A 22,357-nucleotide genomic window follows, 5' to 3' on the forward strand; every position below is an offset into this window, starting at 1 on the left:
TTGTTTTCTTGTATTGAAACCTATACATTTTGGCTATAATAAATTCCAGAGTAATGTATTACATAATTCCTAACATTATAGTCATTTAAGATGAGCTCATTTGCAATGCCCAATGGATTTTTTTTCCCTCAGTTTATAAATTTGGAAGAATGGTGGTTTTAAAAAATGTTATACTTACAATAAATAGTATTAAATTTATAACTATAAGAAGCCTTTTAAAAATACATTTACTTTTAATTCAGATAAATATACAAAGAATTTTTTATATTACAATTTGTTCTAACTAAATTTGGTTATATGACATTAGTACAGAGAAGAGGGCTTTGAAAACATGAAAAACTAATATCTTCCTGATTTATTTTTTCATTGTATTAACACAGGTCTTGATTACCTTTTTGGTTGCTACCTTGTTTTATTTTTAGAGACTATATTTTAGGTACTCAGTCGCCTCCTTATGTTGATACATTCTCATATTAAAAGAGTAGGTAATTTTCTGCTGCATAACTCTTCAGGCTACTTCCTCCTCCTACCCTTTTAACTAAATGAGTGTAAGCCAATAATAAATGGCTAGGACGTAGTTTTCCCTAAAGGAAAGCCAAAAGGGCTTAATACATTGTTAAATTTCACTGACTCAACAGGTATTGCTTTACTTGGTAGATATTTCAGACATCTGTGCATTTTGTATGGGTATCAGTCTCTCCTGTCCTTGTTACATGGATGCATCTCAATTCTTTTCTCATCCTGTTGTTAGGTGGCAGTGGCAATCAGCTGAGATCTTTTGGCTCCGGGCAGTTGGACTTAACCAGTTCCTCCTCTTCTCTTGGAAGTGAGAACAGTAACAAGAATAACAATGCACCACGGACCTATGGGATAGGTGGGGTTTATAGAACCAAAAATGGGGTGGGAAAGAGAGGAATCATCTCATTAGTTAATGAAAATGGGAGAATTCCTCCAAATGTCAAGTGCTCCATCTGAGTGATTTATTTTTCTGAAACTTTTTTTTTTTTAAGCAGACTGTTCAGGGAGGGCTTTAAATCTTATCTGTCAGAACTTGCAGTGTGGTTTTATAAAAAGACATTTTATAAATGAACACATTAAATCTTATCAAGACCTGTGCAGCCTTTAAAAAATAAATCAGGAATTACCAATATGCTGAAAGAACATACTTAAACTGGCAACATTTAGATGCTCTAGATTTTAATTTTTCTTAGGTAAGTGGCATTGAAGAAATTTGCATTGCATATAAGATAAAGTCAATATTTAAGTAACATGAGATCCCTAGTAATGTAGACAAGAAAAAATGAATATTGAGAAAGAAGATTTGGATTTTTTTCATTAAAAATACCAAGATAGGGCCGGGTGCAGTGGCTTACGCCTGTAATCCCAGCACTTTGGGAGGCCAAGACAGGCTGATTACCTGAGGCCAGGAGTTCGAGACTAGCTTGGCCAACATGGTGAAACCCCTGTCTCTAGTAAAAATACAAAAAAAAAAAATTAGCCAGACATGGTGGCACATGCCTGTAATCCCAGCCACTCGGGAGGCTGAGGCAGGAGAATCGCTTGAAGCCAGGAGGTGGAGTTTTCAGTGAGCCAAGATCCCGCCACTGCACTCCAGCTTGGGTGACAGAGGGAGACTCCGTCTCAAAAACAAAAAAATCAAGATAGGCCCCTGCCATTGTGTCTTTCAAAATTATTTTTAGTAGCAAAAGAGAGTTAAGGGTCCTTTCAGGCCAAGAAGTGGACATCTGTTTAGATATTCTATAGTAATGATCTTGTGAAAAGTGCCCTTTAACTCCTTCAAAACGATTGGCTTTTATGTGGTTCAACCAATATTAATATTGAAAAACCAAATGGCAAAAATTCAAAGACATCTTCAGGTCTTATTTCTTATTCTTTTTGTTTATATGTTTACTTAAAATTGTAGGTAGGATACAGGTATTTCCAGTTGAATTAGTCTATGCCATACAAGTTCTAAAAATTGAAAACTGTTGAAAACAAGATCAGTGGCTTTGCATTTTGAAAAAAACATACTTTAAAATCTGATCCGTTATTCTTCATGGTTTCTTTTCTGTAGACTAATAGTGTAATTATATAGGTAAGGGAGCTAAGAATAGTTGAGTGGTGCCTTTTCTGCATCTTTTCCTAGCTTGTAGGATACTTTCTTTTTTCCTCTCTAAACTTCGATTAAACAACTTAAGCTTCATTAGAATAAAACATTTGTCTCTTAGTCATGTGGTCTCTACAAGTGAAATGGGGTTTTTCTCCCCACTTAAGAGATATCTATGCCTGCATTTTATTTTTGCTTCTATTTGGTAGACTTCCCTTTGATGTTATAAACCTAGAGAGTCTAATTAATACGGTTGTATTTCTCATGCAGGCTATACTTTGGCTCCCAGTGGTACTGTGGATAATTTTTCAGATTCTGGTCACAGTGAAATTTCTTCACGATCCAGTATTGTTAGCAATTCGTCTTTTGACTCAGTGCCAGTCTCACTGCACGATGAGAGGCGCCAGAGGCATTCTGTCAGCATCGTGGAAACAAACCTAGGGATGGGCAGGATGGAGAGGCGGACCATGATTGAACCTGATCAGTATAGCTTGGGGTAGGTGGCTCTTTTTAATATTCTTCTGAATTTATCCTTCCATCTCTGTTTTAATAATGAGTCTTTTCTTCCAGTGTTTGTTTTTATTTATTTTACATAATGCCTAAGAATTTTTCTGCCATCCCAGTTCTGATTTTCACAATTTCTACACTAAGTATCATGTTATTTTTGTTAAGCAGACTGCTTTTTTAGTTAAGTTTATTCTTCATTGGAACACAGTTGTTCTGTGCTGAAGGCAGAGGGTGACTGTAGGATCCATCCCAGTTGTTTCGTATGAGCTGCCTTCCTGAAATAATCAAATTATATTGAGCCACCCTTAATGTTGTCGGGGAATTTTTTTTTTTTTAATGGCACGTTGCGTTCTTTTCCCGCATGCCTGTTTTATAGTAATGATAAAGTCAGAAGGCTAGACATGGCAGAACTGGCCAATATAAGGCAATTCAGTGCTACTTTTATCCTGTTTCTGGGATGAAAGCAAGCTACCTTTCTAGGAAAAAGGGTATTTTGGTTTTATCATAGGTGAATTAGTTATCAATCTTGTTTTTTTTTTCTTTTCCATTTCTTTTAACCACTTAGGTCCTATGCACCAATGTCCGAGGGCCGAGGCTTATATGCTACAGCTACAGTAATTTCTTCTCCAAGCACAGAGGAACTTTCCCAGGATCAGGGGGATCGCGCGTCACTTGATGCTGCTGACAGTGGCCGTGGGAGCTGGACGTCATGCTCAAGTGGCTCCCATGATAATATACAGACGATCCAGCACCAGAGAAGCTGGGAGACTCTTCCATTCGGGCATACTCACTTTGATTATTCAGGGGATCCTGCAGGTTTATGGGCATCAAGCAGCCATATGGACCAAATTATGTTTTCTGATCATAGCACAAAGTATAACAGGCAAAATCAAAGTAGAGAGAGCCTTGAACAAGCCCAGTCCCGAGCAAGCTGGGCGTCTTCCACAGGTTACTGGGGAGAAGACTCAGAAGGTGACACAGGCACAATAAAGCGGAGGGGTGGAAAGGATGTTTCCATTGAAGCCGAAAGCAGTAGCCTAACGTCTGTGACTACGGAAGAAACCAAGCCTGTCCCCATGCCTGCCCACATAGCTGTGGCATCAAGTACTACAAAGGGGCTCATTGGTAAGTTTTAAAATTGGGGGACTTTGTCATGTCTGGATCATGTCTTTAATGTAACTTATTACAATAGTAAAATTATGTGTTTGTTGGTTCTTTTCCTCATTTTCTCCATTGCTATGTAGGACTTCCAAATTAGTGGTGTGTTAAGGTCTTTGAAATCAATAGTGGTTAAGAGCCCAGGTTTTGTGGTCAGGTACCTACAGATCTGTTCCTATATAACAAAACATTCAATAAATCTTAGCTATCAGGATGAGTAGATTGTCATTGTGAATATTATCTAGTCTAATTTTTTTCTCTTAACCTGAAAATCAGGATGGATTCCTATTATTCATAGAGGAGAAATTTTTCTTTAATTGAAACTCTTTTATATCTTTGATTCTTCTATTTTGTTCTCTTGATTGTATTTAGAACTATACGCTTTGTATACTTAAAAGTCTTCCATTGATTTTTATTCTGCACGCACATTGTTGATAAGCAATTCTTTGTGCACGCTGTAGAAGGAGGGAGAGGTGCTAATAGTGTAATGACTAAGAGCACGGGTTTAGGAGTCAGGCGGACTGGGGATTGAATCCCTGTTTTGCCACTTTATTAGTTTTGTGACATTGGGTAAAATACAAAACAGTGCCTGTTTCCTCATCTGTAAAATGAGCTTCATAATTTCTACTTAATGGAGTTAGTGTGAGGATTCAAGGAAATTTATGCAAAGTATTTAGAACAGTGCCCAGATAGTAGATTCACTAAGTACATGAAAGCTATTGCTGCTGCTGTTCCTGTTAGAAGAGGCTCTCATGCGCCCTCAGTCCTGTTGAGATGTGTTTTCTATGGCACAATTAACATCTATATAGACGAAGTGTAGGAACAGATGATAGGTTGTAGAGTGAGAAATTCTGGAGTATAATCATTACGGACATTACTTTTATTAGTAGGAAAATTGTAGTTATTTAGCCATGTAAATAGTCATGGGTAGATTTCAAGTTTAATATCCTTTTACAATGAATAAGGAGAAAACAGTTAATAAATATTCTTAGGTTGGACTTTTTCAAGTGCTTACAACTAATACTCAGAATTTTTATTGCAAAGGAAGGAAGAATGATTTTTAGTTCCTAACAATTGAGTTTTAAAAGTTCAAGAAAATGAAACTTTAGTTTTACTGGCCTATACAGGTTTCATATTCTAGGTCATGAGCATCAATAAAGGGATTTTAAGAAAAATAGACACCTTATAGTAATAGTTTTAGAATTTTTAAATTGGTATCCTTTGTGCGACTTTTCCAAATTTATTTTAATTCACTGTTTCTGTAAGTGAAGTCTTGAGACCCGAGAGTGATGTAGAATTGCTTCTCTGCCTGGTAAAGATAAATGCCCAGAAAGAGGGCAGATCCGGCAGGCAGAGAGGAAAAAGGGAACTTGTACCAAGCACAAACAGGTTCTAGGCATAGTGCTGTGTACTTAGGTTCTTCCTGTGCTTCAGTCTTTCCAATAAATCCAGGGGTTAGGTTTTAATCTTACTATTTTATAGTTACAGACCATTTTAAATGGACAAGCAGCCCATTTAAAGATAAAAGTACTTAGATGGACTAGCAGCTTCTCTCACCAATTATTTCACCACACAAAGATAACATCATTGTGAAATTTGGTTTAGTTAACATGCATTCCCTGGCCTGCCTCACACCGCACCTCTAACCGATACCATGCAAATGCACATCTGCTGCTACACTGTGGATGCTGTTTTAGTAATTATTTTTATATTTTTAATAAACTTTTGTGGCATGAACTAGTTTTTAATGCTGGTGCATTGTTTCTACTCTAGCACGAAAGGAGGGCAGGTATCGAGAGCCCCCGCCCACCCCTCCCGGCTACATTGGAATTCCCATTACTGACTTTCCAGAAGGGCACTCCCATCCAGCCAGGAAACCGCCGGACTACAACGTGGCCCTTCAGAGATCGCGGATGGTCGCACGATCCTCCGACACAGCTGGGCCTTCATCCGTACAGCAGCCACATGGGCATCCCACCAGCAGCAGGCCTGTGAACAAACCTCAGTGGCATAAACCGAACGAGTCTGACCCGCGCCTCGCCCCCTATCAGTCCCAAGGGTTTTCCACCGAGGAGGATGGTATATGCACATAAATATTCCTAAAACCTCCAAGTTAGATGTGTTCACTTGTGCTGCTTCCCAAGGCATTTCTGTTCTCTTAACACTGCAGTCAGCTATGTCTAACCATATACTACACAAAGTACACTACATTCAGAGTTCCAAATTTAGGGTTACAGCTGTTGACTGCTTTCTTTTGTGTGTGTGTGTGTGTTTCCTTAAATGGCTTTAAAAATGCCAAAGATTATGGAGGGAGTCACTTAAAATACAGTGTGTATATAACTGGTTTTCTTCTCCAATTCTCACTAAAATTTGATTGCTTTCTGTGTGTCTGTGTATGTGTGTTTCCCTAAATGGCTTAAAAAATCCCAAAGATTATGGAGGGAGTCACTTAAAATACAGTGTTTATATGACTTGATTTCTTTTCTAATTCTCGTTAAAATTGAAGTACTTCTGTGACCCTATTTTAAGAAAAAGAATAGGCCAGGTGCGATGGCTTACACCTGTAATCCCAGCACTTTGGGAGGCTGAGGAGGGCAGATTACTTGAGCTCAGGAGTTTGAGACCAGCCTGGCCAAAGTAGTGAAACCCTGTCTCTACTAAAAATACAAAAATTAGCCGGGTATGGTGGCAGGCACCTGTAATCCCAGCTGCTCGGGAGGCTGAGGCAGGAGAACCACTTGAGCCCGGAAGGCAGAGGTTGCAGTGAGCCAACAACATGTCACTGCACTCCAGCCTGGGTGACAGAGTGAGACTCTGTCTCAAAAAAAGGAAAAGAAAATGAAAATTTCACAAGTTTGTGCTGTTGTCAAGAATTTTAGAAGCATGTAGGATTCTCAAAGGTGGATGGTTAAAGTTTTCTGTGGAAACATTATATTTGCGCTTTTAATGAATTGGGACTCATTTGGAAATGAAAGTCTGATAAAGAAAGATACATTATCAGCCAGCCTGATGGCTCATGCCTGTAATCCCAGCACTTTGGGAGGCTGAGGTGGGAGGATTGCTTGAGGCCAGGAGTTCGAGACAAGCCTGGGCAACATAGTGAGACCTGTCTCCATAAAAATATTTTTCAAATGACCCAGGCGTGGTGGCGTGTGCCAATAGTCCTAGCTACTATGGAGGCTGAAGTGGAAGGATCACTTGAGCCCAGGAGTTCAGGGCTGTGGTGACCCATGATTGTGCCACTGCACCGTAGCCTAGGTAGCAGAGCAAGACCCGGTCTCTAAAAGAAAGAGAGAGAGAAGGGGAGGGAGAAAGGGAAGGAAGGAAGGAACCCACATTCTTTATAACTCTTTGTGCGTTCTTTCTACAAATCTATCTGACCATGCTGAATTGAGAATGAGGAAGGAGAACATGGCCTCCCATCTTCTTTAAAGTTTTCAGTTTAACATGTTTGATTACACAATCATAGAAAAAAGCAACACGTGACTGGGAGATTGGGAGGCCGAGGCAGGAGAATCGCTTGAGCCCGGGAGGCGGAGGTTGCAGTGAGCCGAGAACACTGCACTGTGGATGGCAAACCCACACCCTGTCTCAAAAAAGTTAAATTAAATTAAATAAATAGAAAAACATTACAAATGAAAATTACTTAAAATCCTGTCACTTGCAGATAGCCACTATTAAAATGTTGTTATATATTCTAGACTTTTTATGTGTATCTGATCGTATATTTTTTTTAAATGGCACATGCTATTTTACAACTTTTTAAAATGAATTTAACAACTTTCTGAACAAAAATATATAATGCATATCTTTTTAATATTGTGTGTATATATGTAAAGATATGTATTGCATACATTTTAACCTTTTTGTTGTTCGTCATTGTTTAGGAAAAAAAGACAAGGATTCTAAGTGAGCTATACTAAAAAGAATAACTATGATAGTTTTATTTAGCACATCAGTGAATATATTCTCTATAGCACAAGAAATTACTTGCTTGCTCATTGATTTCTTTTTCTTCCCTGCTGTATTTGCAGAAGATGAACAAGTTTCTGCTGTTTGAGGCACAGACTTTTCTGGAAGCAGAGCGAGCCACCTGAAAGGAGAGCACAAGAAGACGTCCTGAGCATTGGAGCCTTGGAACTCACATTCTGAGGACGGTGGACCAGTTTGCCTCCTTCCCTGCCTTAAAAGCAGCATGGGGCTTCTTCTCCCCTTCTTCCTTTCCCCTTTGCATGTGAAATACTGTGAAGAAATTGCCCTGGCACTTTTCAGACTTTGTTGCTTGAAATGCACAGTGCAGCAATCTTCGAGCTCCCACTGTTGCTGCCTGCCACATCACACAGTATCATTCCAAATTCCAAGATCATCACAACAAGATGATTCACTCTGGCTGCACTTCTCAATGCCTGGAAGGATTTTTTTTAATCTTCCTTTTAGATTTCAATCCAGTCCTAGCACTTGATCTCATTGGGATAATGAGAAAAGCTAGCCATTGAACTACTTGGGGCCTTTAACCCACCAAGGAAGACAAAGAAAAACAATGAAATCCTTTGAGTACAGTGCTTGTCCACTTGTTTACAATGTCCTCCTTTTAAAAAAAAAAAATGAGTTTAAAGATTTTGTTCAGAGAGTAAATATATATCCATTTAATGATTACAGTATTATTTTAAACCTTAAGTAGGGTTGCCAGCCTGGTTTCTGAAAAACCAAATATGCCGGACAGGGTGTGGCCACACCAAGAAGACGGGAAGACCTGGCTTGTGACCCTGGCTTCCCATGTCCTTCTGGTCTCACCCGCGAAGTGCCCTATCCTGGAAGTATGAAATGTTAGCCAATTAATACCAAGACACCTCATCTGCTCCTTCCCCAGTGGATGGGGTTCTTCTGTAAAACTGTTTGCACATGGCCAGGGGAGGGAACTAGGACCCTTGTGTCCTGTCTGAGCCTTATGGAGGCAGGACGGTGTCATTGGCGGATGTGTCCTGCTCCATTGAGATGGATGGCAAACCCCATTTTTAAGTTATATTTCTTTGATTTTTGTTAATTTAGAGGTGTAGGTTTTGTTTTTTGTTTTTTTGTTTTTTTTTAAGAGAAACATTTATAACTGGATAGCATTGCAGTGAAAGCAGCTTGGGATGTTGGAGCTAATGCCAGCTGTTTATACTGCTCTTTCAAGACAGCCTCCCTTTATTGAATTGGCATTAGGGAATAAACAAGCCTTTAAACGTGATAAAAGATCAAAAACCTGGTTAGACATGCCAGCCTTTGCAAGGCAGGTTAGTCACCAAAGACTAACCTCCAAGTGGCTTTATGGACGCTGCATATAGAGAAGGCCTAAGTGTAGCAACCATCTGCTCACAGCTGCTATTAACCCTATAATGACTGAAATGACCCCTCCACTCTATTTTTGTGTTGTTTTGCACAGACTCCGGAAAAGTGAAGGCTGCCAATCTGAGTAGTACTCAAATGTGAGGAACTGCTGGTCTTGGATTTTTTTTCCATTAAATTCAGCTGATCATATTGATCAGTAGATAAACGTAAATAGCTTCAAATTTTAAAAGTGGAATTGCAGTGTTTTTTCACTGTATCAAACAATGTCAGTGCTTTATTTAATAATTCTCTTCTGTATCATGGCATTTGTCTACTTGCTTATTACATTGTCAATTATGCATTTGTAATTTTACATGTAATATGCATTATTTGCCAGTTTTATTATATAGGCTATGGACCTCATGTGCATATAGAAAGACAGAAATCTAGCTCTACCACAAGTTGCACAAATGTTATCTAAGCATTAAGTAATTGTAGAACATAGGACTGCTAATCTCAGTTCGCTCTGTGATGTCAAGTGCAGAATGTACAATTAACTGGTGATTTCCTCATACTTTTGATACTACTTGTACCTGTATGTCTTTTAGAAAGACATTGGTGGAGTCTGTATCCCTTTTGTATTTTTAATACAATAATTGTACATATTGGTTATATTTTTGTTGAAGATGGTAGAAATGTACTATGTTTATGCTTCTACATCCAGTTTGTACAAGCTGGAAAATAAATAAATATAACATAAAGCCTTGCCTATATTCTTAATGAATCATGCATGCTTTTTATTATTAAATTGGAATAGAAGCCTTTCGTCTCCTGCAGAAGCAAGTCCTTCGGCTGGAGAGATTTAGCCTCATGGTTATTGGAAACTGCCCAATAGCCTATTTATTTTAGGCAGATCTCTGTTGATCCAAAGCAATTAATATCATTAACGTTAGCACCAGCCAAACCATGTTCAGAATTCAGTGTTTCTTGAAAATGAAGATGCTGTCACAATATATTTGCATAACATTTGTCTCTTCTCAACCGTTTCCAACAATAATCTTTATGGTACGTAATATTTTGGTTCCCAGTATACATACTGAGAGACAGGACCTCAGAGAAACTGACATTCAAGGTCATGATTATTAAGTGGAGAGTACAATTTAGCTAGTGATTCTGGACTTCTAACTAGTACACAATATGAGTGCTGATGTGTGGTAAGTCTGAATAATACTTTAGTCTATCAGAAGGGCACTTAATTTTAAAAGGTAAAAACCAGTAAGTAGCAGCCTGCTTACGCACATGTTTAAATGAGTGACTCATTTCTTTTCCTCAAGCAAGCATAACTAAAAGTATTAGCCATCAGCCACTGAGAAGTCTCAGAAGTCAGAGTGGAAGCAACTGGAAGCAGAGGCACCAAACACTGGAACATGTGAGGGAGCCTGAAGAGGAGCGGGAGGAAGGTCCCTCCAGAAGCTAACAGGAAAATGGCCAGGGCTAGGCTTCAAGATCTTTCCAAGGTATTCGTGCCAGCTATTTTGCTGAGAAATTTTGAAAACCTGGACACCAAAATAGTCGGGAAAATTATTTATTTATTTATTTATTTATTTATTTTTTAACCATTCTAGTAGCTTCAACCACACCTTTTAAAAAATGAAGAACCTGCGTGTTTGTGTATGTTGTTACATGCTCATCTCTGTTGTCTTTTCACTTTAAAACCCATTCCTCAGGGACTTTCCTAGACTGTCACTCAGCTTAATTTTCTCAAACTTTTTTTGAAAAAATACTAAGAATCTGATGTTTTGGAGAATAACCTCTTTATCATTACTGTGTGTGTTCTGCTAAAAATATGAGACAGTGACAAATAGGGCATGGTTCGTTTTCCTTTTAGGTTTTATTAGACTTTTATGTTTTAGGATACTTCCTCCGTGTAGCACAAGACTGGTCTCCACTTAAGGGTTTCCAGAAATAAGTATTTGCCAAGTGTAACAGTTTGCAGGGACAGAGTTTATGTTATGTTAATAATAGAACTTTGCCAAGTTTTAGGGATATTGTAGAAGGTTTTGGTGAAGGTCTGATGCTCTCCACCCTAATCAAAGAGGCCACACAGACCGGGGTCTGTGTTTTCATACATACAGGTTGAAGTCCTCAGAATGTTTTTCTCAGCCTCAATCCATTTCTCTGCTTTTGGGAGGTATAGATTTTATGCTCATCTATGATTTAATATGTTTTACCTTTAGTTCACTGATAATATCCCAAAATGAATAATGCAAGCTTCTGAGGATGCATGTATCAACACACCTTTTGGTCTCTGCCTCTCAACGCCAGTGCACTACATTCATGCCAAAGAAAAATAGGAAACTCTCTTGAGCGCTTTATCCCATGATACCAGCATTCTTTAAAAAAAAAAAAAAAAAAGGCTTACCTAGAGAATAAACGTAATGCAGCAACTGAGGAGTCAAGTTGTTGATTGCAGAGGTAAATTATTTTGTGAAGATTCACTAAGGGTATAATATCAGCAGAGGTTGTTGAAAGGGGCAATAAGACGGAAATGTGTAAGGCAAACTGCAGCTGAGGCCAACATGACACTTTCAAGAAAGATTTTAAAGTGAGAATTTACCTATTTGAGAGTGAGACGAAAATACTGACTGGAACTGAAAAATAATTTATGAATTGCCTTTTTTTTTGAGACAGAGTCTCACTCTGTTATCCAGGCTGGAGTGCAGTGGCGCAATCTCAGCTCCACCTCCTGGGTTCAAGCGATTCTCCTGCCTCAGCCTCCTAAGTAGCTGGGACTACAGACGTGCACCACCACACCCGGCTAATTTTTGTGTTTTTAGTAGAGACGGGGTTTCACCATGTTGGCCAGGCTGGTCTTAAACTCCTGACCTCAAGTGATCCACCCGCCTTGGCCTCCCAAAGTGCTGAGATTACAAGCGTGAGCCACTGTGCCCGGCCTGAGTTGCATTTTTTAAAAGATTCACATTTTAGCCAAGTACAAGGCAAGCTAGTTGTTACTATGCCATAGCCATATACCAGAAAATTTTATAGAGGCAATCACGACATTCCATGCAAGGTTAAGAAATGCCAGAAAAGACTTTATTTCATGGGCAATCAAGATGGTAACAATTCTTATGGGAAAAATGTCTAAGCCTAGAATAAAATATCTGAAATAAATTGAGTCAAATGACCAGCTTTATAAAGACTGAAAGTGAAATCAACTTAATTCAGAGTGTTCAACACCTCAAAAATAGAAGTAAGTTTAATACAATTTAAGAAACTTTTGGCCAGGAACAGTGGGTCATACCTGTAATCTCAGCATTATGGGAGGCTGAGGCAAGAGGGATTGCTTGGTGCCAGGAATTCAAGAACCAGCCCAGGCAACAAAGCAAGACCCTATCTCTACAAAAAATAAAAAATACAGCCAGTTGTAAGGGTGTGCACCTGTAGTCCTAGCTTCTCAGGAGGCTAAAGTAGGAGGATCACTTAAGCCCAGGAGTTCAAGGCTGCAGTGATCTATGATGATGCCACTGCACTCCAGCCTGGGCAACAGGACAAGACTCTGTCTCAGAAAAGAAACATTTTAATAATATTGTATGACCTTGCCAAATGCACTGTGGTCAAATGGGGACCAATGAAGTAATAGTATCTCAACATACGTGAGGTTTTCTTTAATTTATATAGATTGAAACCTTTTTCCCCAAATAGGACTACAAAATTGGTTTTAGGATCAGGTGAGTGTCACATTTGGTATTAAGATGAAAATATGTATATGTACAATGCTTCTAGATACAGTTTAGTGAGCTAATTTACTGTGGTCCAAGCACTTTTCTAGATGCTAGATATTTACAGATTTTACTAAAGTGAACCGAGGCACCTTCGAGTTATACTTTCTTACTTTAGAGAAGTGTCTCAGGCCCTACATGGAAAAACCTACGGAGTGATCCCACCATCTTGATCACAGCTGGATTGAAGGAGGTGTCTGATCCAAGAGTTGCCAATGTGGGCTCACCAGCAGTCTGTAAGAGGGCCCTGGAATGAGTGCCGTGACCAGCCAGTAAGAAGGAAAGCAACAACTAACAACCTTAGCACATTCTCTTTGGGGAATTTCTATGAAAAGGCAAAAAAAAAGGACGCACCAAAGAAGTGAGTATTCAGAAGCCGTGACTAACAGAAGCAATGAGGATGCAGAAATCATGAGCAAGAAGGGGCCCATGAGGTCAAGAAAGCAATTCATCAAAGGCAGGAATCCTGTTAAAAACTTAAGACACTTCTTAGGGAACAATAAAATGATCTGTCATCATCACACCTGAATACAATGTCCAGTCTTAGAACAACTCCCTGAAGCTTGGCTCTGAAATGTTCTTGTTCTTCATGAGACCAGCATGGAGAGCTGTTTTTTGTGTATCCTCTCTGAATAACCATTCTGTTCTCAGCATCTAGAAACAGTGCCTGGGATAATGCCAAAGTGTTTAATAAATGAATATCATATCAAGCAACCTAAAGGACCTCAATTACACAGGTAAATTGGAGACTCAAAAATCAGACAAAATGCATGTGTGAAGGGGCATCTATAACTGCTCAGACTGGTGAATATTCAGAAGTGAAATAAATGACTCGTAACAAGGCTAGCAAGGGTTTCAGATTAATCAAAAGGAGCAAAGGATAAAAGACTGTTTAAAGAGTTCAGTTTTGTGTGACTACAGAAGTTCAGTGGAGTGAAAGGTCAATGAAGACTGAAGTGTCCATAAGAAGAGACGAGACTTCAGCTATAGCTTCAAGTATCATCTGAAGACAAGAATGAAGGCAAGAGGCAGGGCTATTGGCATGGCTGTGGGACACAGGAGTCATGCCTCATTAGATGGGACATTATGAATAGAAGATGCAGAGAAATTGGTTGGGATAAGTAGGGAGTGAGATCAGGACAAAAAATGTTTAGAGATTGTTCATTTTAGGGGATCAGTAAATGCTTATAAAAAGAAACAAGGAAGGAAAGGAGAAAGAACTGACAGAATCTTTTGATGAGACAATGGTAGGAAAGGATGACTTGATTAGTCAGGACCAGGCAGGATGGAGGGTGAGGCAGGGAAGGTAGCTAGCTGGGAAACCTGCTATCATCCAGGCCTGAGCCAGCAAAGCCCTGGAAAGTATGGTTTCAAAGGCAATTCAAAGGAAAAAAATCAATAGAATTTGGTGTCTAATAGCATATAAGAGACTTACTTAAAAGTTAAGCCAAAATTTGTAAAATGTTCAAGATTCTTATTCTGAATGCTTAAGATAAAGAGAATAGGCTGGGTACAGTGGCTCATACCTGTAATCCCAACACTGGGAAGCCAAGGTGGGAGGATCGCTTGAGCCCAGGAATTCAAGACCAGCCTGGGCAACACAGGGAGACCCTGTCTTAAAAAAAAAAAAATTATTCAAGCTTGGTAGCATGTGCCAATATGTCCCAGCAACTTGGGAGGCTGAGGTAGTAGGATCACCTGAGCCCAGCAGTTCCAGGCTGCAAGTGAGCTATGATCGTACCACTGCACTTTAGCCTGGGTAAGAGAGTAAGAACTCATCTCAGGGGAAAAAAAAAAAAAATTAACATTGACAAAGATAAGGAAGTTGCAGAAAATGTTAATTTTTAAAACTGAGTCAAAAAAATTCTTGTCCACGGGATTCAAAGTTCCACACTGTTTCCGTTGTACCTTCTGTTAATACATCCATAAGGTAAGGCTCTGGATGTGGTTGAGGAAGGGGGCATTCTACCCTCTTCAGGTACAATTACAGTACTGGTGAGTCCACACAGTTTATTCACTGCATTTTCCAAAACATCTGATTTTTTTTTTTTTTTTTTGAGACCGAGTATTGCTCTGTCGCCCAGGCTGGAGTGTGATCTTGGCTCACTGCAACCTCTGCCTCCCGGGTTCAAGTGATTCTCCTGCCTCAGCCTCCTGAGCAGCTGGGACTACAGGCACGTGCCACCACGCCCAGCTAATTTTTGTATTTTTAGTAGAGACGCGGTTTCCCCAGGCTGACCAAGATGGTCTCGATCTCTTGACTTCGTGATCCGCCCGCCTCAGCCTTCCAAAGTGCTGGGATTACAGGCGTGAGCCGCCGCGCCCGGCCATCTGATTCATTCTTTTGTGTCATTGTAAAGGTTGTGAATCATTGAGCGCAGGCACTACGTCTAACCAAGCTATTTCTAGCACCCCTGCAAAATTAAAATTATTTGCTCACATGCAAAACTAGGCCCAGAGAAGGACACTGACAATGTGGAATACATAATTTCAAAAATTCACCTCAAAAAGCTGGAGGACCAGTAGAATGAAAACCACCAGCCTACTCATGGGCGAACTGTGGTACTTGTGTCCTTTCTTCCATTTACTTTCCTGAGGAGAGGAGAGACTGCTCACCTGGTATTCCACTGTGCCCCTCCCCGGCAGACCCCTCACTGACCCGTGAGGCAGGAGCAGAAGTTGTTCACTATAGATTATTGCTCCATCATAATATAACCAAGGAGGCTGGGCACAGTGGTTCATGCCTCTAATCCCAGCACTTTGGGAGGCTGAGGCAGGAGGATCACTTGAGGTCAGGAATTCCAGACCAGCCTGGCCAACCTAGTGAAACCCCATCTCTACTAAAAATAACAAAAATTAGCCATGCGTGGTGGCGTGCACCTGTAATCCCAGCTACTTGGGAGGCTGAGGCACAAGAATCATTTAAACCCGGGAGGTGGAGGTTGTAGTGAGCCAAGATCGCACCACTGCACTCCAGCCTGGGCAACAGAGCAAGACTCTGTCTCTAAATAAATAAATAAATAAATAATGAAAAATAACCAAATATAGATAGGGGAAGAAACAGGAAAATAATAGTGGTAAAGGAGGTGGAATAATAGCAAGGAAAAGGAGGGAAGGGAAAGGATGAGAAGAAAACAATTAAATGGTGAAATAAATTAATAAGCAAATATTCAAAAGCAAAAAAAAAGCAACACAATAGTTCATATCTGTGGTTTGGAGCAGACCCCTCCTGAGGCAGGAAAACTCTCCTCTTTGGGAAGTGAATTTCCCATTAATAATAGTTAATGTCACTCATAAATTGGAGGCTTCTGATAACAGCAAAAGATTGTATCCTTTCATTCTCAGATTGGGGTAGGTACCAGATGCTCTTACTTAATTACTTAAAGATTTAACTACATAATCTTGCCCGTGATTGCTGCACTGAGTTTACCTGGTTTGAGCTCAGAGTGGTTTACCTCATTGATTTCAAGCGTCCTTTAAGGTCAGTCATATACGATTGCACCTAAGATATTTAAATAGCTGTTTCTTTTTACTCTCATAGAGTGTGCGATCATCAGACTTCCCCCAAACCAGAGAATCTCTACTTAGCGAGTGCAATGGCTGAACTTGAACCTATATTTGAAATTTCATTTTACCCAGTCAATTCATGAGGACGCAATTTATCTGTGGATTTATATAAATACCACTATTAGAGACAAACTACTTATAAATGCTTTAAATTCATTTCTCCTTCTCCAGACCCAGAAAGGAAACCCAAATGTATCCACTTTACGCATTCAAAGCCTTGACTTTCTGAGCTAATCTTTCATAAATGGCTCTTAAGGGAGGGTCTCCTTCCTTCCTTGGGTCTCACCCAGAGGTTGCCCCTTTGCAATCCACATTGATGAAGGACATCTTCCCTGCTGGAGGACACGTTCCTGCAGGAGATTCTTTGAAGAGCAAACACCACCCTCCAGCCTTGAAATGCTGGCGCGGCTTCACTGTGTCTCTAAATCAAGCTTTGTCCACCCAGACAGGAAGACTCCACCCTGTTGTGACAGGCACAATGTGGAATTTGTGCTTCAGTGAGCTTCAGATGATTTTCAACCCCACACCTTGGATGTGTTTTTGAAACAATGTGGGATATAAATAAATAAAACATATTAACCATTGTGGTGCTTTATTCGCTCTTCAATATTTGTAAGTTGATTTCTACCATAAAAGAGTTTTTTTCTCTCCTCCCTTCCTTCTTTCCCTGCTCTCCCACCGCCCTCACCATCACCACCCACCCTGCCCTAAAAAAACAGTTCCGTTTTTGGTATTCTTCTGTGACGTTCCACACTTCATGGAAGGGTGGTTCTGCTAGTTGAAATTTTAAAATGCATCCATTCCCATTCTCCGGCTTATTCAGAATCCTCTATTGCCAAATCTTTAGGCTTTTTTCAACCCCCATTTACAACTTATGACAAGCTCATGAGTGTCTTTTCTTGCTCAAGTTCTCATCCTATCACTCTCTGCACAAAAGCCTTGGAGAATGTTCATTTCCATCCCAAGAACAAAATAAGCTTTTGCCCTTCCCCGCTTTAAAACAATTGCTCAAGGTAATGGCCACCACCATCTTACAAAATTAATTGATTAACTTTTTAGGTCAGACTGGGGTTTGTCTACTGAGAAGTTCTTGGCAGTGCAGAAAGAGCAGTCAGTCTGTTTGATGTGACACAGAAGTGTGAAGAAGACGATGTGCCTGTTTCTGTCCCAGGCGAGGAAGTTTGTATGTAAATATAGTGGGGAGAGGGTAAGAAGACAAAGATTCAAAGCAAAAAAGGGAACAGTAAATGCACACAGTGAGTGCAGTTTTACAACTAAAAAAAATATTTAAACATTTCTGATGTCAAGAAATCAGAAGGCATTTGGAAAATATTCTAACCCTTTTAAAGATATTCCAAACCATTTTCCCTGGCTTATTTCTACATAGCAACAAACTTTTATCTCTGAAAATAAACTGTCCATCTCCTGAGAAGAGATTATTTCTCTTCTGAGAACTCTTTCAGATATAAGAATGTGAAGGATTCCAGTTGTTTGGTCCTGCTTACCTTTCCTGTGACATGTGTGTATATGAAGCTGTATGGGAATCCCCATCCAGAAGTTCTCAAGAGAGGAGATGGGCTTCCATGCTTTTTTAAAAAATGTGACAGAAAGTCTGCATGAGTTTTGACCTTTTTTTTTTTTTTCCTGGTGAGGATAAAGCCAGTTTTCAACTGTGAGAAAAGTGCTCTGAGGCAAACTCGCTTTCACCACAGCTTAGCCCTGTGGCATCTCCTGCTGTGGCCATGCACCCAATAAATTCCCCTAGATGAGCAATTCCTGTAGCCTGGTCCTGGTCAGGCTGGCATGCAGGAGGGCTTCCTTCTATTACTAAAGTGGAGTCTCCAAATCACCTCTTTGGAATGTGTGAACCCTAGGGCAGGGTCCCCAACCCCTGGGCCACAGACTGGTACGGGGCCACAGGCAGGGGCTGAAGGGTGGGTAAGCAAGGGAAGCTCATCTGTATTTACAGCTGATCCCCATCGCTGGCATTACCGCTCAAGCTCCGTCTCCTGTCAGACCAGCAGCGGCATTAGATTCTCATAGAAGCACGAACCCTATTGTGAACGGTGCATGGGAGGGATCTAGGTTGCGTGCTCCTCATGAGAATCTAATGCCTGATGATCGGTCACTGCCTCCAATCACCCCCAGATGGGACCGTCTAGTTGCAGGAAAACAGCCTCAGGGCTCCCACTGAGTCTACGTTATGGTGAGTTGTATGATTATTTCATTATATATTACAATGTAATAACAGAAATAAAGTGCACAATAAATGTAATGTTCTTGAATTATTCCAGAATCATCCCCCTGCCTGGTCCATGGAAAAATTGGCTTCCACGAAACCAGTAGCTGGTGCCAAAAAGGCTGGGAACCGCTGCCCTAGAGGAAGAATTTCAATACAAATGTAGCAAACTCCAGTTCCTTATTTTGTTCTGTAAAAGCATTATTGATTGTGACAACCCAAAGCATCATCAGGAAAACAGGGAACACACTGCATGGCCATCTGCCATGAGGGGGGTGTTAGTGGCCATTGGCTAGAGAGATCTGTGAAGGAGCAGGGAGAGAGCCAGGAGTCCAGTGGGCACCCCCAGGAGACATAACCGCTGTGTACTGGTGTGCACGCTGGACCGCTAGTGACCTGGAGGCCGGCAGTGGGAGGGGACAGGCAGTGTTAGGGATTAGAAAACAAAGACTCCGTGAGTTTATTTTGGATTGTTCTCTTTCTTTTATATTCCTTGTATTAGTTTGCTAGAGTGGCCACAGCTTGGGAGCTTGGGTGTTTTAAACAATAGAAATGTTGTTCCCACGGTTCTGGAGGCAGGGGTCCAAGACGAAGGTGCTGGCATATTTGTTCTTTCCTGAGGTCTCCCTCCCAGATTTGTTCTCCCTGACTCGCTGATGGCTTCCTGCTCACTGTGCCCTCACAGGGTCTTTCCTCTGAATGTGCATCCATGGTGTCTTCCACTTCTTATAAGGACACCGGTCCTGTTGGTTGAAGCCTCCGCCCTGTGACCTCGCTTAACCTTAGTTACCTCTTTGAAGGCCCTGTCTCCAAATGCAGTCACATTGGGAGTTAGGACTTCAACACATGGATTTTGGGAGACTACAATTGAGTTCATAACAGGTCATTACCGAGCCACCAGGTTGCTAAAAGCAAAACCTCAGGTTTATGAGTGCAGCCGTGCCCAGATGCAGCGCCAAGGGATACCCATGAAAAACTCTTTTTTAATGTACTTATCGGAATGGCTAAAATTAAAAATGCCAAATGCTGGAGAGGGTGTGGGGAAATAGGATCACTCATATTGCTGGTGGGAATGTAAAATGGTAGAGCTGCTTTGGAAAGCAGTTTGGCAAATTCCTATAAAATTCAACAGTACTATAAAGTTATAAATGTACTGTACTATATTTATATTAATATAAACTCAAGTATCACTATAAAATTAAAATTACTACACAACCCAGCAGTTGAACTCTTGGGCATTTATCCTCAGCATATCCAGGATAATGTAGGCTTTTCCTTGATTGCATTGTAAGTTTAACATGTCCATGGTTTATGGTTCATAATGTCTACCTATGTTTTAATATCATCTGCCAATTTATTGACACCTTTTCCATTTAAAAATGAGAGAGAAAGAAAAACTCTTCTAGATAACAATCCTCCCTATTGTTTCCCTAGCAAGTCATGGGTGAGATCATTGGAAGCTGACCTATGGTGCTTTAGGTTCTTATAAGACTCTCAGCATTTCTTCCTCCTCAGGAAATGCCCTGCTGAGTTCACAATCTCAAATCAAATCTGCTTTACATGTAGGAGAATGAAACTGAATACTCATCTCTCACCTTACACAAAAATCAACTCAAGATGGATTGAGGACTTAAATCTAAGACCTGAAACTATAAAAATTCTAGAAGATAACATCAGAAAAAACCCTCGTACACATTGGCTTAGGCAGGGATTTCATGATCAAGAACTCAAAAGCAAATGCAACAAAAACAAAGATACATTGCTGGGACCTAATTAAACTAAAAAGCTTTTGCTGTGCAAAAGGAACAGTCAGCAGAGTACACAGACAACCCACAGAGTAGGAGAAAATCTTCACAATCTATACATCTGACAAAGGACTAATATCCAGAATCTACAACGAACTCAAACAAATTAGCAAGAAAAAACAAACAATCCCATCAAAAAGTGGGCTAAGGACATGAATAGACAATTCTCAAAAGAAGATATACAAATGGCCAACAAACATGTGAAAAAATGCCCAACATCACTGATGATCAGGGAAATGCAAATCAAAACCACAATGCAGTACCACCTTACTCCTTTAAGAATGGCCATAATAAAAAAATAATAGATGTTGACATGGATACGGTGAACAGGTAACACTTCTACACTGCTGTTGGGAATGTAAACTAGTACAACCACTATGGAAAACAGTGTGGAGATTCCTTAAAAAACTAAAAGTAGGCTGGGCACGGTGGCTCACGCCTGTAATCCCAGCACTTTGGGAGACCGAGGCAGGCGGATCATGAAGTCAGGAGATCGAGACCATCCTAGCTAACACGGTGAAACCCCGTCTCTACTAAAAATACAAAAAAATTAGCTGGGCATGGTGGCGGGCACCTATAGTCCCAGCTACTTGGGAGGCTGAGGCAGGAGAATGGCATGAACCCGGGAGGCAGAGCTTGCAGTGAGCCGAGATTGCGCCACTGGACTCCAGCCTGGGTGACACAGCAAGACTCTGTCTCAAAAAAAAAAAAAAAAAAAAAAAAAAAAACTAAACTAAAAGTAGAACCACCATTTGACCCAGCAATCCCACTACTGGGTATCTCCCCAGAGGAAAATAAGTCATTATATGAAAAAGATACTTGTACACGCATGTTTATAGCAGCACAATTCGCAAGTGCAAAAATGTGGAACCAGCTCAAATGCCCATCAATCAACGAGTGAATAAGGAAACTGTGATATATATATATATATATATATATATAAAACCATGGAATACTACTCATCCATAAAAATGAGTTAATTAATGGCATTCGCAGCAACCTGGATGGAATTGGAGACTATTATTCTAAGTGAAGTAACTCAGGAATGGAAAGCCAAACATTGTATGTATTCACTCATAAGTGGGAGCTAAACTATGAGGCTGCAAAGGCATAAGAATGACACAATAGACTTTGAGGACTCAGGAGGGAAGGCAGGAAGGGGCTGAGGGATAAAAGACTACTAATCAGTTTCGGTGTATACTGCTTGGGTGGTAGGTGCACCAAAATCTCACAAATCGACCCTAAAGAACTTACTCGTGTAACCAAATAGCACCTGTTCCCCAAAAACCTATGGAAATAAAAAAATAAAAAAAAAATTAATCTGCTTTATAGTTGGTTTTTAGTATACAATAACTTTTCTTAAGAATCAAACTGTTGCATATTTTTCTAATGAAACATGTTTTTCTAACACATGCATGGCGAGATGCATATAGTATACAAACACATTGTAACAGCATAAATCTGTAAGAGATAGCAAAGTAGGATGGGTTACAATTTCTCAGGCAGCAGATCATCTCATGGGCTAGGACTAGCGGTATGGTGGCTGTGTTCAAGCCATGATTGAATGCACCTCCTCTGCCATGGGAGATGCTGACAATGCAGGGCACACCCCTTGTGAAGGTCTAGGGTAGACTAGAGGAAAAGCAGGTGCTTCCACCATTCCCTGACCCATGGACTGAGCATGCAGAGAACTGGCATGGTCTGCTTAGCAGCTGCCTGGGATGTGGCTGGGGTAAGTATCAGGAAAGGGGGTGGAAAATGTGAGCCCAGGGCAGGAAATCAGAGCACAGGATTAAGAAAAATGTCTCAAAGGTCCTTAAAAAGTACCTGAACAGGCACAGTGGCTAATAAAATCCTGGAGCTTTGGGAGGCTGAGGTGGGT

At 40.4% G+C, this 22,357-nt stretch overlaps 1 protein-coding gene across 7 annotated transcripts in view; it reads left to right on the forward strand.

Moving 5' to 3' along the window:
• Positions 1 to 9,866, forward strand: part of RAPGEF2 (Rap guanine nucleotide exchange factor 2) — a 257,095-nt gene extending 247,229 nt beyond the window's left edge. For 4 of the 7 annotated variants that reach the window (NM_001394067.2, NM_001351726.3, NM_001351725.2 and 1 more), the window contains 4 exons: positions 2,378 to 2,603; positions 3,180 to 3,739; positions 5,546 to 5,851; positions 7,807 to 9,866. In NM_001394067.2, coding sequence (NP_001380996.1) covers positions 2,378 to 2,603; positions 3,180 to 3,739; positions 5,546 to 5,851; positions 7,807 to 7,832 — 1,118 coding nt within the window. In that variant the 3' untranslated portion in view covers positions 7,833 to 9,866. Of the gene's footprint in view, positions 1 to 751; positions 875 to 2,377; positions 2,604 to 3,179; positions 3,740 to 5,545; positions 5,852 to 7,806 lie in introns of all 7 variants that reach the window. The other 3 variants (NM_001351724.5, NM_001351727.4, NM_001351728.4) reach the window with 2 other exon arrangements.

This window comes from Homo sapiens, chromosome 4 (genome assembly GCF_000001405.40).
Source record: "Homo sapiens chromosome 4, GRCh38.p14 Primary Assembly".
In the NCBI taxonomy this organism is placed as follows: domain Eukaryota; kingdom Metazoa; phylum Chordata; class Mammalia; order Primates; family Hominidae; genus Homo; species Homo sapiens.